Genomic DNA, 17696 nt, shown 5'->3' on the forward strand with positions numbered 1-17696 from the left:
TAGACAGAAGAGGTACTAAGCATGTGTGATTAAGTTAAGGACATTGAGATGGGGAGGTGCTAATATAATCATAAGGGTCCTTATAAAAGGAGGGTAGAAGAGGGGATGTGATAACAGAAGAAGAGGTCAGAGAGAGAGAGAGTTGAAGATGAAATGATGATGGCCTTGAAGATAAAGGGTCACAAGCCAAGGAATGCAGGCTGCCCCTAAAAGGTAGAAAAGGCAAGGAAACTAATTCTCCCTTAGTGCCACCGGAACACAGCTCTATCAGCACCTTGATTTTAGTACTGTTAAGATAATACATTTGGGTTTTTTAAGCCACTAAGTTGTGGTAAGTTGTTACAGCACCAATGGGACACTAATACAATAGTTACAGATCTTAACGAAGCCAAGAGATGCATTTTCTCCTCCATCGCTAGAGAAAAATAGGAGAGCTGTTTTCTGTACCTCTCCCTGGCTTTGATAACTTCTGCAGGGGAAGACCAGGAAGGTCTGGCAGCACTTCCTGTCCCTCCTCTCTGAAAGGCAATGGAAGGGCACCGTGGATCAACAAGGCCGAGAGGAGAGACAAAGAGGGCAAAAATCTTCTTTATTGAGCTCTCGGGCGAGGTTCACTGGTCCGCAGGGGGAGGGCCAGGGAAGTCGCGCTGTGCCAAAGGGGCAGCACGCTTTTATGGATGCTGGGTGAGGAGTGGGCGGGGTAGGGGCGGGGTCGGTTGAGTTTCGCACTTCTCTGTGTGACACGCCCTAGTGGGCATGCGCGTTAGTCGGGTTGGCGGGAACAGGAAAGGTGAACCCGGAAATGCTGAGTCAGGGTATCCGAGGTGGCGATCGCCATCTTGGAGTCTTCACCCGAGTCCAATCACTCTCCACTCTCAGATGCCTTGGGACCTACAAAAGAACCTCCACTTGACGAGGCTGACAGTTGTGCCTTCTGGGCTCCAGCCTTGCCTTGGTATTGCAAAGAAATGTGGAAGAATAGCCAACTCACAGTTTCATTACAGCCTTGCCTTGAACAGATGTTTAGCTCATGTCAGAAGCCAGGAAATGCATCGCTTACAGCCCCACATGTGTTTCTGCAAAAGGGTCCTGATAAATGTCTGGTCTTTGCAATAATCCTACTAATTGGCCCGATTCCTGGAAGAAAAATGGCTGTATTAAAGTGGGTTAGACATTACATAAACAATGTCAGTTACACATCTTTAAGTGTTACTTCTGCATTTAAAATTAACAAAGCTATTTTGGGGACACTTTTTACAGCTATACATCTTAAGATGTTTGTATATGAAAAAAAAAACCAAGTTTGTACCGGTATCATCATATTATCATCCAGTAAGCTCTAAGAAAAGACAATTAAAAGAGAAAAGTGACCCAAAACTGTCACAAAAGCTCTTCTTTTCTGGACATAGTGCAGCATATATTTGTTCATAACTTTATTTGCACAGAAATTTTACATCCATTATCAGAATTGATTCTGACTACTACACTAGAAGGTGAGTTCTCATGAAAAAGGGTGAATCCAACATTATTAAGTACCACACAGCTAGTAACTGATGATATCTTTTTTTTTTTTTTTATGGAGTTTTGCTCTTGTTGCCCAGGCTGGGGTGCAATGGCACGAACTCGGCTCACCACAACCTCTGCCTCCTGGGTTCAAGCAATTCTCCTGCCTTAGCCTCCTGAGTAGCTAGGATTACTCAAGTCATCTGACTTCCAAGTTCAAACTTTTAAAAATATCTCATGGTGGTCTTTGACAGGATACCATAAGTGTTGAACCATTGGTTTAACTACATGCATCAAGGATATACAATTTCCCTTAGTTTCTATGTTCAACTATGGGCTAATCCCAAGGAATAAGGCAGGATTACTGTTGTAGAATCTATTGAGGAGTTATTATTCCCATGGTTGAGGAAATTGAGAATAGAATGTGAGATAATTAATGCTTATTCTGTCTGAAGTGCCTCTCATTTGTATAGTAAATTAATATAACAAAATTTTAGAATGATTTAGCTATTTAGCTGACCAATCTTTCAGGGGGTTTCTCTCCTTGATTCAAGTGAGATATGAAATTAAATGTCTCTCATTGGACATCAGTGCCATCTATTATAGGACATTCAAGATGACTCTCTTTGTTCTTTCCAGAATTCCATCTTTTCTGGAAAATTATGTGTGCCTCTGCCACTTACAAAATTTACTCTTACATTTGTGTACGTGTCGAAGGAAAAGCTTAAATTGCAAATTGGATATTTAAAAAGTTATGAGAATATTTCAGTTTAAAATGAAAACACAATACTTGGATAATAGACTCCCATATTTTCCTTCCATTTGCAAACTACAGCATTTAAAAATTCATTTCAAAAGTCAAATTACCCAATGTACTTTATAGTATAGAAAGGAAGTTTCACTTCTGAGTATCACCCATGTGCCAGACATTTAATAGATAATAAATTTTTACCAGCTGTTTGGGGTTTTGAGGAGGCCATTCTTCCATTGTAAACTTGTTTGAAGTGTAGATATACCAGAATTCTATTCTGGCCCTGGGTGTGCAAGAACACTGAGTTAATGTCCACTGTTCCTGTAACATTTTTCACTATGACATTTTCTTGGTGATTTTAATCTCAATAATACATTGAGTCAATATCTTCAGAAACATTCTACAAAATGTTTTTCAATATGTGTTTTACAGAATATCAATCACACAAGATGTTAACATGCAGATTTCATTATCAAATAAGTTTGGGAAACACTGGGCAAATAAAAGTTAACCAGATTCCTTTTCTGCAGGTCTCTAATGTATTAATATATGTTGTAATTTTCCAAAAAGTGGAATTTGGTATGCAATATTTTTCAAACTCATTTGACACTGAAACCATTTTCAGAGCTTATCACATGGTGCTAGCATTCCAAGGAAAATACTTAAATAAAACCTGATTTATGATAAAAGATCCCAGGCTCTTTTCTTGTATGATCCCTGTGGCCCAGAGTTCTTATTTAAGATAGTCTTTGGAATACAAATGATGCATCTGTCCACGTTAAACTTATCTGACATTTCTCTGCCTAAGCACAGAGATTTATAAGAATTTCCTATACTCTTCTACCCCATCCCCTAATCTAGCTTTTCACCGTGTGGAAGAGTTTAATGTTATCTCCACACCTAAAGTATATAATCTTTATAAGTGATATGGTCATTTCTCCACATCACTTATAAAGATATTCTTAAAATTTCTTCCGCTCAAAGTTGACTATCAGATAACTCTTTGTGGTTCAGCTCTATCATTTGGGCCATCTGCAGAAAGTGTTTCACTGAGGTTTGTTGTGTTGTTTTTGTCTTAGTTTCCTTATGAGACATATTACTCTATTTACTCTAGGGTACGTAGTTAAACCTCTTAGAAAAGATCCATAGGCCTTTTATTTAAGTGTTAGAACTAAGAAAACAGCCTGTTTTCTCCCTAACAAACTGTAAATGATTCCCTTTTTATTTCAAACACCAGGAAGCTCAAAACCAAATCAGGACACCACTAGAGTAATGAATTATGTCCTTACATGTCTGCACAATTGTGTTATCATTTCACCTCTCACTAGCTTGTGTTAACCTGCTACTCTCCACTTTCTCTGCTGTTATTTTGCATTTAGATCTTCCGTTCATGCTACATACAATTTTATTTAATGTATTCTTGTTCTAATCAAATTCAAGTCCTTCTCCATCCCTTCTGCCCCCAACACACACACACACTCTTTGAGAATGATTTAGAAAAAAGAACAAACCAAAAAATGTAAAGAAAGGAAGAAAAATTATTCTGGTCACAACCCTGTCTAGCTAGAAGCTGTGGTACTAGATATAACTGATGCTGAGAGAGCATTTAACATTCATAGTCAATTTGGAATTCACGTCAATAAAGTTCATAGTAGCTGATTCTTTTTCTGATTTTATGATGGTGGCAATATACCCATTAAAGGATCTAGAACCTCCAGTTCTCCTTAATTGCTTTAGTTAAAAATCCATGAGAATTTAAAAAGTTTGACACAAACCATCAATACAGTTATGAATGGTACAAGCTGACTTTTTGAGGCAAGCATAGCATTTCCTCACCACTTAAAAGGAATGCCCCTTTCATCTCTATGTAGAGCAAGGTTCTCTTCCTCAGCACTATTTGTGCTAGAGAAGTCTTCTGTGTAGAAAAGGCTGTCCTGTGCATTGTAGGACATTCAGCAGCATTCCTGACTTCTACACCTATAGATATCAGTAACACGCCCACCTCCAGGTGTAATAACCAAAAAATGTCTCCAGACATTGTTGAATGCTCCCTTGGAATTGAGAGGAAATCACCCTTAGTTGAGAGCCACTAATAGAAGAAGGAGCACTTTCAAAAGGACAGAGTTTGCTGTGTTGAAGAAAGTCCAGGAAATGGACTTAAGTGGTAGTTTTCTGAGAAGTCCTGTGTCACATCTGTGTCTTTCTCTTTTCCAACTGCCCCCATGAAATTAGTAAATGGCTGCTTACTCTGTAGAGTCGATCACCTGGCACAATGTGGCAGTTAGAAGGAAGCCACTTATTCATGCAGAGTCCAGAGAAAAAAGGCCTTTGATACAATAAATTATATGCAGTGAATAACAGTTTGTAGTATGTTGATGACCAAACAGTGGTAGGATTGGTAATATTATATAATCAAAAATTGTTCATCTGTATTGTTGTTTCAGCTTACAGAAATAATATATGTCCACTGTACAAAGTCAAGCATTAATAAACATTCAAAAAAATCTACAAAAGTAGCTCTTGCTATTGCAAAAATTTCAGAGTAAAGGAATGTGTGAAACAAAAAGCAAGGCCAGGCATAGCAGCTCACACGTGTAATCCTAGCACTTGGGAGGCCGAGGCAGATGGATCACTTGAGGTCAGGAGTTTGAGACCAGCCTAGCCAACATGGTGAAACCCCGTCTCTACTAAAAATACAAAAAATTAGCACAGTGTGGTGGCACATGCTTGTAATCCCAGCTACTTGGGAGGCTGAGGCGGGCGGTTGGTTGAACCCAAGAGGTGGATGTTGCAGTGAGCCGAGATCGTGCCACTGCACCAGAGTGAGACTCCATCTCAAAAATAAATAAATAAATAGATAAATAAATAAAGCGAAATTACCATCTCCCTAAGCCAGTCTTCAAAGGTAGCCATTTTGAATGACCTGTGAATATGAAGATATTAATACATACCTTCATATTCTATTTCTAAGCAATCATTTCAATGTAGTGTGTGTGTGTGCGTGTGTGTGTGTGTGTAGCTTTTTCACTGTTAAGGTGTTGATTGCATGATTGTATATGTAAGTCAATTTTTTTTACAAGAATATGGATAGTGATTTAATGTATTCCTGCAACACAAATTATCTAATCTATTCCCTATTAATGAGAATTTAGGCTGTTTACTTTTTTTACTATTTGACAATGCAGAAATAATTATCTTTGTATGTGCATCTTTGTGCACTTTTGGAGACATTTTGGTTCATTAAATTCTTAGTATTGACATATCAGCAACAAAGGATACGTACATTTAAAATATCTAAAAATAACTGCCAATTGCTCTCCAAACAGTTTAGATTGTAACAAAGCAAATTCCCAATACAGTGCTTAAAAATTCATCAAGTAGTAATGACTGCTTTATAATTTTTACCGTTGTGATAGAAGAAAGACTGAGATTCTTTTTTTAAACATATTTTACAAATTAAATAATAATAATTACAGTTTCAGAGAGGTGATTTTTTGCCCAAGTTCACAGGAACAGTGAGTGGCAGAGCTGAATCACAATCCTGGGCTATTTGACTCCTAAGTATGTGCTTTTCTTTTCTCCAGTGATTCCCAAGCCAGCAGATCACTGGAAACACACACAGAGCTTTAAAAAACACAGCTTTGCTCCAGCAGAGATCCATCTGCATTTTTTAAGTTCCTTGGTTGACTCAAATATCAGTTCTATCTCTAATTAGATATAAGAAAGTGTTATAAAGTTAACATACTCAGTAAAGCAGGCTGACCGGCTGGAAACTTAACCTGTATGTGTCTCTTCTGTGGGTGCCCTTCATGGAGGGGCAGGAGGAGTGAACCCTGTGGCTCTTTAGCCAGGTATGGAAGAGAAACATTCTCCTTCTAGGAGGTGGAAGGGCTAGTCTTTTCTATGTCTAAGGTCCAAACTCTTCCTAATGGGACAGTGGGAATGGAGTAACCTCACCATGGAGTGAATCCATCAGTGGAGGGCTGCCCTGGCCAGGCAGGAAGCTGAACTTATGTGGGACTGCAATGGCAGTGAACCAGTGTGAGCAGAGCCTGACATGAGGAGCAGCACGGGGTCTGCAGTAGCCACCAGTTTGGACACCAACCCCAGGCCTCCAACCTCACCATCTGCCAGAGGCAAGGCTCAAGCCTTCCAAATTATTGAATGACCAGAGAGAGAAAGTAATCCGGAGTTTCTGCCACTTGATGGTTGGCAGCTGGGCCTAGTTCTAATTTGACTTGGTAAACAAAGAAATGTGGCATTATTCACAACTTTAGATCATAGAGCAGTTTACACTGGCAACCTATACAATAGTAAACATATTTTTCCTATACCCTAGTATAGGAAAATATAATAAGTTCAGTAAGTTTATAGTAAGTAAATATAGTAAGTTTAGTAAATATAGTAAGTTTATAGTAAAAATAACTTTTATTTTTCTACTTTAATTACTCCATCTTTTTCAAAGGAAAAGTAACTTTCAAGGTCCCTCCATTATTTTATAGGAACAGAGGTGTGGTGGAGTCTGTGATTTGGCTTGCAAGTGTGATCTTGCAGTCTCTTGCTCTTTTCTATTTTGCATGTGTTTGTAAATTTTGGGCAACCAAATATTTTATTTAAAATATTAGGTTATATATAATGAAGCATTTTTGTATCCTCACATGTAGTCTAATATCCAAATATGTATGTTTTTCCAGCTTGGAGGTATAATTATTGAGGTATAATTAACAAGCAAAAATTATATATATTTAAAGTGTACAATGTGAGGTTTTGATATATGTGTGCAGTGGGAAATAATTACAGCATTCAAACTAAGGCAGTCTCTTGAATGCACCAAAAAAAGCAAAAGTACTATCTCCCGAAATCACTTGCCAGAGGTAGTTTTTGAAACAAGTTGAACTGTAGATCACATTTTATCTTTGTGAGCTGTCCTATAAGATCCTCCCACACCCAGCCTGTCTATATTCAGACAGTGTTTGCTAGAATGTAGCTGGACAACCTCTACTTCAACACTCGAGTGAGGTGGCCAGGGGCCAGGAGCAGTGGGCATGGCCCAGTACCCCTTGGCACTCCCAGGCAGAGCCCACTTCTGCAGACTGTGCTGGTTCTGAGTAATGGGTTAATTTATACACAATGTTCAGCCAAACATTGAGGCAGAGAATGCCAATGCAAAGAATTGGCCCAAGTGCCAACCAAGGGGCACACCCCTTCAGTAGGCTCAGTTTCGAGGTTGGAGGTGGAATTGCATAAGAATTCAGTTACTGTTTATTAACATAGCTCTGTGCACCTCTGGCATCTACTGGCCAGAGACCCTCTGGTTTTCACATTTACCCTCAGCAGGACAACCCAGACTGTATGGATTGTGTTTACACTGGAAAAAAAAAAAACATGATATTCCCTACAATGTGAGAAAAGAAGTTAGAGATCTTCTCATCTTCGCTCCTTCTTTATAGAAATGACAGTACTGAAGCTTAAGAGGTAAACCAACTTTCCCAATCCAGCATTGCTCGTCATAAACAAATCCCCACATATTTTGATAAGAATAAAATCCATTTTATTTGCAATCTCAAATATTAGGGCTTTATTACCATGGAATGAAGATCATTCCGGTACTTCTTGATCTTGAACATGTGTGGGAATCCCTGAAGAATCTTGTTACAATGCAGACTCTGATTCTGTAGGTCCGGGTAGGGCCTGAGATTCTGCACTGTTAACAAGCTCCCAGGTGGTGACCCAACTACTGGCCTACGCTTTTGAATATTGAGCATTTATAGGCAATGCCTTGCCTAGTGTGGGTGGACTTGAGCCTCCACAAGAAAGTATGTAGGGCTTTCCACTGTGAATACATTTCCTGGTATGGTGAGGAGTTCCCATCAAAGAATTCTTTTGCTATGCCTAAGAATAGCAAAAGAATAGAATTTCATGCAAGTGCTTTCTTCAGAAATAAAGTAAAACTGAGAAGATGGATCATTTAAATGTTTTGTATTTCTGTAAATGCACAAATCATATTTCTAAGTGTCCTTGGCAGAGGAACCTTATCATAGTTAAGAAAGTTTACATCTGCATCTCCCACTCAGTCTGAGCATGCTTTACTTCCTCTTAAGTAATAATCGACATTGCGAAATTGCAGCTAGGCAACTAGCAAAATGTTCACAGGGAACACAACTGCTAGCTTTCGCTCATAACAAGCTCCCTTCCCTAACCCATGTCATTCCCTACATGAGCTTATTCGTGGGTTTCGCAGCCTTGGCACTACTGATGTTTGGGGTCATTGTTGCAGGGGCTGTCCTGTGCACAGAAGGTTGTTTAGCAGCATCTCTGGACTCACCGCACTAGATGCTGGTAGCACTCCACCCCCAGTTGTGACAAACATAAATGTCTCCAAACATTGTCAAATGTCCCCTAGGAGACAAAATTTCCCTTGGTTGAGAATCACTCCTCTACAAAAATAATTTATACTATGTTGGAAAGGACAACTAGCTTAAAACATTGATTTATATAGTTTCAGATTGGAAAGAGAGCTTTACTGCATTTGGGGGTCACACACTGAGACAGAGTCTCACAGTCACCCAGGCAGTGGCACGATCATGGCTCACTGCAGCCTCGACCTTGTTTCTACAAAAAATAAACAGTTAGCTGGATGTGGTGGGGTACTCCTGTAGTCCCAGTTACTCAGGAGGCTGAGGTGGAAAGATCCCTTGGGCCCAGGAGGTCAAGGCTGCAGTGGAGTTGTGATCGTGCCACTGCACTCCTCCAGCCTGGGTGACAGAGGGATACCTAGTCTCAAAAAAAAAAAAAAAAAAAAAGTGTTTCCTATTCTTTACTCATGGCTTCTCAGCCATGTAGCTAAATTCTGGAACAGCTCATGTGTACAGTCAATGACAGTAAGTCCGCTTACAATACACTCCACATCACTTTGAGAGAGAATGTTTTACTAACATTTAACTGACAAAAAGAAGAGAGAAAGAGCAATTAATCAATCAGGTATTTGCCTAAATGCTGAACAAAAGTGATCTACTAAAATAACCACTTGTTCTTAGATCTGTTGTCTTGCTGTTAAGGGAACTCTGAAGTAAAACACATATTAAGTACTTCAAAATTCACTTCTTGTTCACAGATTCTCTAACATTGTTAAGATGTGACAGCCTGAAAACATGTCATGCAGACACTAGTTATTTACTGTACTAATATTAATAACTGGAGGCCCTGGCACAGGGCCAGAGTGAAGGGACCTTTTCTATCCTCTTTTTTACTGAAAGGGAGGAAAAGGCATTCTCTCAGTTCTAAGCTGGAGGTGGCATCCATCACCTGCCAATGAACAAGATCTGCTGCTACGCAGCTGCCAACACCCCTTCCATTCACACTCAGCTGATATTTATTGTACACCTACCATGTGCCAGATACTAATCTAGGCACCGCCACATAATTTATCTATTTTATTTTTACAATAACTCGGTACATTTGGGCACAAATGGAGAATCTAAGGAAAAGGGTTTGGCTAATAATGCCAAGCCTATTTTACAGCCCTTTGCGCTTAAAAAAATTTTTTAAGAGAATTTGAATGGATTTTAAGTATTCATTATGTTCATTACATTCATTACTTACTTCCTTGCTTGATTTCTTTATGCAATAGATGTCCTTGAAGAGTTTGGAAGCAAATTGCAGTTTTGTAAGTTGACTCACTTTTGAAATGTTTTAGTGTGGCTCCATGATATTTATGACTCATGCAGCAAATTTGCCTAAACAAAACAACCTTTAGTAAGATGACTAGCCACTCTATCTGATTTTTAATTCTGAATTTTAACTTAGTGGTTTCCTTATAGATGAACATATATAACATTTTCTCAAGTCATCAATAAAATCTAAGCCAACAGTAGTTTGCATTTTGACAGCAATGAAGTAAACTTAGATACTTGGTGTAGGAATAAATATTAACCCCAATAGTTCAACCAATCAAATGAAATGTACAGCTGTATGTCTTGAATGACGTCAATGTTTGTATTAGTTTCCTATGGCTACTGTGACAAATTACCATAAACTGAATGGTTTAAAACAATGAGAATTTTTTCTCTTATAGTTCTGGAAGTCAGAAATCCAAAATCAGTCTCCCTGGGCTACTGTCAAGGTGCTGGCAGGGCTGGTTCCTTCTGGGACGTGGGAAGAATCTCTTTTCTTGCCTCCATCAGCTTCTCAGGCCATCTGCATTCTGTGGCTCTTGACCTCATTCTCATGTCATCCCAACCTCTTGCCTCTATCTGCTGTGAGTCACTCTGATCTCCTGCCTCCCTCCTATAAAGACTCTTGTGATTACATTGGCCCAACCCAACAACCCAGGATAATCTCTCACCTCAAGATCTGTAACTTAATCACACGTGCAAAGTCTCTTTTACAAAGCAAGGTACCCATATTCACTGGTTCTGAGAATTAGGACTTGGCTGTCTTTAAGAGGCCATTATTCATCCTATGACAACACTGAAACAAAACTCAAACTAAACTTAGTAAAGGATTGGTACAGAGCCAACTAATTACCTAAATCAGTTTAAGTAATTAAGAAATAGACCTGGAAAAAATGCAGCGAGTGATGAATTTTAATCCAATCTGCCAATACAAATCTGGGACTTTCCATTTTTATAAGAAACGCAGCAGTGAGATGAAAATAATCCTTAAAACATCACTGAAAGGCCCTGTAATTATAACCTGCTCCCTGGAAATTAAAGGAAAACTAAAAGAAGTATCCAGAAAACCCCAAACTTGGCTGTACTTATCACAGACATTGGTAAGTAATAATACTATACAACATTCACTTTGGATTATTATCTAGAAAAATTGATTAGCTTGACTGAGGCCATTATTTTTTCCCAGACCCCATTTATAAGCAATGCTATCTATTGATGAAAAGCTGTTTGAAAGCAGAGTGTGGCGTGGATCTCTTCTCCATAAGCAACCTGCTCTGACCACCCTGAATGAGCCTGATTAGATGCATTCTTTGCTAAGCAAAGGGCACTTTGTTTATTTTTTATTTATTTATTTATTTATTTATTTATTTTATTATGTTTTAGCACAACTTGCACAGTAATATTCAAGGAAAAATGTTTGAAACCAAGTGTCTCTGTCTCACTATGGAATGAAGTTAAACAGACATAGTTATGCATCTATACTGCTTTAAGCAGGGGTAACAATAAAATACTTCAGTTAGATTGTAACAGTACATGCACTGCAAAATGCACTACTTATTTATTTATTTATTTGACAGGGTCTCACTCTGTCACCCAGGCTGGAGTGCAGTGGCACCATCTCGGCTCACTGCAACCTCCACCTCCCGGGTTCAAGCGATTCTGATGCCTCAGTCTCCCAGGTAGCGAGGATTACGGGTGCGTGGCAACACGCCTGGCTCATTTTTGTATTTTCAGTAGAGACGGGGTTTTGCCATGTTCCCAGGCTGGTCTTGAACTCCTGGTCTCATGGGATCCGCCCGCCTTGGCCTCCCAAAGTGCTGGGATTACAGGTGTGAGCCGCCGCGCCCAACCGCAAAGTGCACTTTAAATACAGTTGTATTTATCTTCCAACAGGTATAAAAACCATTATAAACTATATAATGAATTGGCTCTACCAGTTTATTCAATAAATATTTAAACAGTTATTAAGATGGTAATTATATACTTTGAAGGAAACGTAATAATGGATTTTATCCTTGAGGCTAAAAAGCACTTGTGGGGCTTTTGGTCTCCTCCTCTTGAGGAAATTTGTGACTGTTTTTAACCACTACAGTTCAGCAGAAATTATGCAAAATAATTGTCCAAAGTAGGGACAGAAAAAACCAAGAAGCTGAAAAGACCATGGATGTCAGGTGGAATAAACATTCACTCCCAGAGCCCCAAGCTGCCAGGTGAAAAGCCTAACTATCCTGAGGCTCAGAAGGTATGAGGAAGAGGCCATGCCGTGTGGAGAGCCCAGGTGTAAGGTGTTAAAGTTGACAGTCTCAGCTGCAGCCAGCCTTCAAGTCATTCCAGCCCAGGCAAGATCTATAAATGAAGAAGCCTCCAGATAATTCCTGCCCAGTACAATCAAGTCAGCTGGAGCTGCTACACTGTGGAGCACAGATAAACCACACCTGCCTTGCGATGTCCAAGTTTCTGACCCATAGAATCTGTGAGCATGATGAAATGGTGGTGTTACCTGCCGCTAGGTTTTGAGATGATTTGTTACATAGCAAAAATAATCAGAAGAGTCTTTCAAGGCTGACCACAAATTAATGTAATGTAATGTCAACGAAACTTTTTGTGTTAACACGGAATTGTGACTGAAGCCACAAAGCTGACAAAGTGAGGTGTTATAAGTGTATCAACTCTCATTAGAGCTGCCCAAAATAGGGCCAGCCAAGAGCAGCAGCACAATGGACCATTGTGCAATCACACCAGCCCCCAATGTATTTGACAGGACACTTATTTTGCAAATCTTCATTTATCGTTAAGTATAAACAGGTGTTTACCTCACCTTCAATGGTCAACAACCTAAGGTGACTTAAAAAAAAATACTGATACCAAGTCCCTCCCCAGATGGATTGAATCAGAGCTACTTAGGGTGGAGCCAAAAGGCTTGTTTTTTAAAGCTTCCCAGGTAATTCTAATATGTGTGTAGTCGGGTATGAGAACGATTGCAAGCAAAAGCAGCTGAGGGACGCTGTCCAAGGAGTAGGCTCAGTAGCACGAACTGCAAATACTTGAGAAGGGAAAAGTTCAGCCTTGTGCTGGAAAGTGGTTTAGCATGCTGGAGCTGGTTTTCTGCTTGGTAGCCCTACAACTTTGGCCCAACTACTTGGCCTCTGGGACTCAGATTCCTCCTCTTTAAAATGGTGCTAATAATAGCACCCACCCTCTGTGAGGAGGATGCTGTGAGGACAAAATGAGATCATCCACATAAGCCGTGAACCCTGTTCCTGGTAAGGTAAGTGCTCAGTAAATGAGCTGCTATTAGTACAAGGTTATGTTGGAAATTTATGATGAAGTACTGCCATATAATGAAGTTCTTTTTAGTTTTTCAAACATTTCATGAATGTACCTTATTTCAGCTATAGTTAGTATCCAAACAACTTTGCTAGATTGATCCACTTTTTATCAGATTTTTCTTGATATCAGGAAAAGCTGTGCTTTGCCTGAGCAACCACTTTTTCATTTTTTATTTTTTCTTAATTTGGATGCAATGAATCTTGCGGTCAATTTGTCTCTTTGCTTTGGCATTAGAAAACTAAACTGACCCAAATCTCATAACTGAATAAAACTGGCTATATTGGTCTCTCCTTGTTTTTTCCGTTCCTCCTTAAAACCTCAGCTTTGATTTTATACTTTCATGCAACATGTACATCTTTTTAGAAGGTGACTCAAGCACTTGGTAGGATGGGACCAAGGTAAGTTATCTGTATTAGGAGAGTTTTTCTATGATGAGGTCCAGACTAATAGGCAACTGGTTAATTGAAAAATGTGGTTAAAGCAGGGAGTCCTTAAAACATGTATACACACCTTAAATTTTTTTAACTTAAAACATACAAATGTGCATCTTTTAATTGATCTTTTGGTATACAGGTTGTTACAAGTCCTTGTCTTTAGAAAAGGATCTACTGCTAGAACTTGTCACTGTGTTTCTTGTATCTCCCACACCTGAAATTCATCAACTACTATAACCACTTTTTAAAATAGAATGAGAACTGAGACACTTTTAAAGAGTGTAGAATCTTCCTAGAATGTTAATATATTCCTCCCGAATCTTTAACAATTTTCTTGCCCACATCGAATTCAAAAACATTTTTAATTACTTCCATTGTCAAAATATTTTAATACTTTTAACCAAATTTTCATAGGAGCAGTAAATTTCTTGTTGCATTTCATTTGTAATATTTTTATTCTCAGGTTTGGGACAAATAAATTGAATCTCAGGACACAACTCAACTGGTGGAAACAAAAGAGCTTGAGGCTGTCCATTAGCCTATTTGTTGTGAATGTCCATGTTCTGTCACTTTGGTCTGTATGTTTTGGACAGAGTGGGGAGTTTTGTATAAGTGGTTGATATAGAAAAATAGCGACATGAATAGGCCCATGTAAAAATACATAGCTAAACTTAGCAATGAGAACATTCAGAGGTATCCAAATATACAAGTATGTAGAGGAACACGAGTGGATGACCATGGGTTAGTACATCTGTGTAGATGGCTGTGTGCACATGTGCCCATGCTTTCCCATAAATGATTGTTTTTATTCTCTTCCTCTCATAATATTGCTCTTGGAAAGATCTGACAGTACCTTTCATTTGGTTGCCATTTTCAGAATGAATGTAACTTTAGTTTTTACATTGGTTCCATGTAGTTCAAAAGTTGTTTCCTAAACTGATGTTTACTGTTCTTTAATATTTCTGGGAATATTTTAGATGTTTGTCCAAATCTAAAAAAATTATAACACAGCATGCTTGGGAGAGCACACACATTTTATTGGTAAGAAACATTCTTTCCCTTCATGACTGTCTTTTAAAATTTCCTGATTATTGTGCCTCAATTATAGAGGAAACATTCTTGACTTGGGGGATTAGCTTCATAAACTCATGAATCTCCTGAATATGGTAGGTAGATTTAACACTGAGCAATGAAAACTACTAAATATTAAAGGAAAAGTGAAAGTTGTACCTCGTCTGCAGCCAACTGTGATAGGTAGCAACTTTGTCACCTGAGGCTCTCTAGAACACTCAGAAAAGGAGATTTGTTCTTCCCAGGGTGATAAGGAAGGGTCCTAGTGATGGGTGTAAAATTCTTTTCAGGTGCACAATAAAAAGCATTAAGGCAAAAGCTTTTATCTGATTACCATTAAGTAAATCAGGGATTTCTGTAGAAACTTACATTTCAGGTGTATCTTAAATATGATAATTGGGCCGGGCATGGTGGCTCACTCCTGTAATCCCAGCACTTTGGGAGGCCGAGGTGGGCGGATCACGAGGTCAGGAGATAGAGACCATCCTGGCTAACACGGTGAAAACCCATCTCTACTAAAAAATAAATAAATAAATATATATGTGTATATATATATATATATACACATATATATATACGTATATATATATACACACATATATATATACATATATATATACACATATATATATACACTTATATATATATATACGTGTATATATATATGTATACAGAAAATTATCTGGGCATGGTGGTGGGTGCCTGTAGTCCCAGCTATTCGGCAGTCTGAGGCAGGAGAATGGCGTGAACCTGGGAGGCGGAGATTACAGTGAGCCGAGATTGTGCCACTGCACTCCAGCCTGGGCGACAGAGCGAGACTCCATCTCAAAAAAAAAGGAGTACAAATTGTCCAGTTTAAATAAGGTAATTTAAAAGAAAGTAACTTTCCCAAGATTACCAAATAATGAAGCACAGAGAAACCTGCTTGGGTCCTTCCCTTCTCTTTATCTTTATTTTATCTTTATTCTTTAGGTCCCTTTATGGGTCCACCTCTGCCTATCTTAATGATTAACTATACAAGCTGAAAAAAATTATAGAAATATATTAATAACTGATTTAACCATATTAAGTTCAATTACAAAGTTCAGCTGGTCTCTCAGCTCTGGGTGTGACCACAGATCACAAAGTTCTGAGAACGGCTGGGAAGCATGTCTAATAGATTGTGCTTTTCTATTAATCACACAGCTCTTAGTTCTGGGGTTTTATGATAAATCCTAAGGTTTATCCCAAACTACTTTCTTCCAATGCAGCTTTTGGTATATGAATATTCTATGGGTAGTATATTTTCATTAATAATGTCTATTAAGTATAAGTTAGAATACATGTCCCTAAATACTTTAAACATGTGGAGAAATGTTAAATCTTTAGGCAAATTACATACAGAATAGTCAATCATCTTTATTGTTCTTCCCCAGAGACCAAGGGATTAATAAGATATTAAATGGCCAATTTTAAGTATTGTGTTAAGGCAAAGTTGATTATAGTTCACAGAAGGAATGTTAGCAAGATGCGTAATTAAACATTATTTGGGTCACAGCCTAATAGTCATGGATTGAAGAGTGATAGTGACCTAATCTTGAAGTCTTAGAATTTAAAGCATGAAAACACTTAACAGCATTACTCTCTCAAGTGTGGTTATTGCCTCCCAAGAAGTGCACAGGAGAATCTACTGGAGTACACGAGTTAATACCAGAACTTAGAAATGTAAGTTTACATTGTATATGAAGAGGAAACAAGACAAACTTTACTTGATCCACTCTTCAACACCAATGCTATGGTTCATAGTGCATCCCTGAAGTCACAAGACATAGACTGCTTGTGAGGTGCTCCAAGGACAGGAAGGGAGCTCTACAGCCCAGAGTAGAGCGATAGAAGCATCTGTAGTCATTCATTACCTTCTAAAATTTAGAGACCCATTGCAGTTTACCTATGAAAAATTTTTGTTTCAATATTCTTCTAGATGTCAGGATAATTTTTTCTTGATTTTACTAATAAACTTCATTGCTTTTGTTTATATTCTAAGAATTTTATTCACTTAGTTCTGTAATAAGTCTGAAGACAAAATAGTTTAAGAGTCTGTACTTTATGTTTTATTGAAATGTTCCAAAATGTCATTACAACTTGCAGTTTAAAATGGTATATTTGAGCTTCATCAACCTTTAAAATAAATGTCATATCTTGAGTTTGAGCTTCTCTTCTGCATCTCTAAAATATATTTTAGAGAATTTAAAATATCATTGTCCCATCTTCCAAAGTCTGAAAAACTTTGCAATGGATAGACCATCTCATTAAATTAGATCATTTAAAGAAAAATCCAATTTGATGTGTGTATTTAAAATACTGCGCCTTTGAGACAAACCTGGAAAATATATATATAAATATAGAACTGTTGAAAAGGTATGCGAATAGTCCACAACTTCAGGGTGTCCTGGAGGTGAGTCCTCATCTCATGAGACTTAGATAATGAGCTGCTCACAGACATATTCCGTGTACTTACTAAAAAAGAATGCTGTCTATATCTTTCATTACAGCTCTACTGTCAAAAGACTATGAATGTTGTCAGTTGTTCATTGTCAAGGTACAATGTCCAGAACTTCTTTGTTGAGTAAAGTCAAGTAAAGTCATAGCCTTCAGTTGGCAAAAAATGGTAAAAATTACTCCTAGGTTGTCTATTTTACTACTTGCACACAATAATCAATTGACTGGTGTTTGTCATATCCAAGGCAGAATCTGCAATAATGGACTCATATTCGATGTTTGTTTATATCACTTAATGAGACAGCCAAGTGTGAAGGGGTTCCTGGAAAAATTCCAACCAGCCCGTGCAGTGGAAAGTGTGCACGTTGGGGTGGAGCCACAGAAGTTTGTGCCATTTGCAGCAGGGAGGAGCTTGGCCCTTCCTCTCTCCTGGGAGGAACCTGGGATTCAATCTGC

The 17696-nt window shown here is 38.4% G+C and overlaps 2 long non-coding RNA genes across 3 annotated transcripts in view, besides 1 other annotated feature; one reads left to right on the forward strand and one right to left on the reverse strand.

Moving 5' to 3' along the window:
* Positions 1-572: 572 nt before the first annotated feature.
* LOC105375171 (uncharacterized) lies at positions 573-9986 on the reverse strand. The gene is made up of 4 exons (XR_927074.3): positions 9857-9986; positions 2456-2537; positions 992-1137; positions 573-891 (listed from the first exon to the last, which is right to left on the reverse strand). It is a non-coding gene; the product is annotated as an uncharacterized LOC105375171 (long non-coding RNA).
* Positions 9600-10799: an enhancer, noted in NCBI's record as "MED14-independent group 3 enhancer chr7:17411084-17412283 (GRCh37/hg19 assembly coordinates)". NCBI's record gives its function as "activates an origin of replication core promoter dependent on BRD2, BRD4, P300/CBP and CDK7 cofactors, and independent of MED14, by STARR-seq in HCT116 cells {active_cell/tissue: HCT116}" and the evidence as "EXISTENCE:reporter gene assay evidence [ECO:0000049][PMID:35650434]".
* LINC02888 (long intergenic non-protein coding RNA 2888) overlaps positions 13057-17696 on the forward strand; it is a 92340-nt gene continuing 87700 nt past the window's right edge. For both annotated transcript variants that reach the window (NR_110014.1, NR_110015.1), the window contains exon 1: positions 13057-13195. This is a non-coding gene — a long non-coding RNA (long intergenic non-protein coding RNA 2888). The remainder of the gene's footprint in view (positions 13196-17696) is intronic.

Source organism: Homo sapiens, chromosome 7 (assembly GCF_000001405.40).
Source record: "Homo sapiens chromosome 7, GRCh38.p14 Primary Assembly".
NCBI lineage: Eukaryota > Metazoa > Chordata > Mammalia > Primates > Hominidae > Homo > Homo sapiens.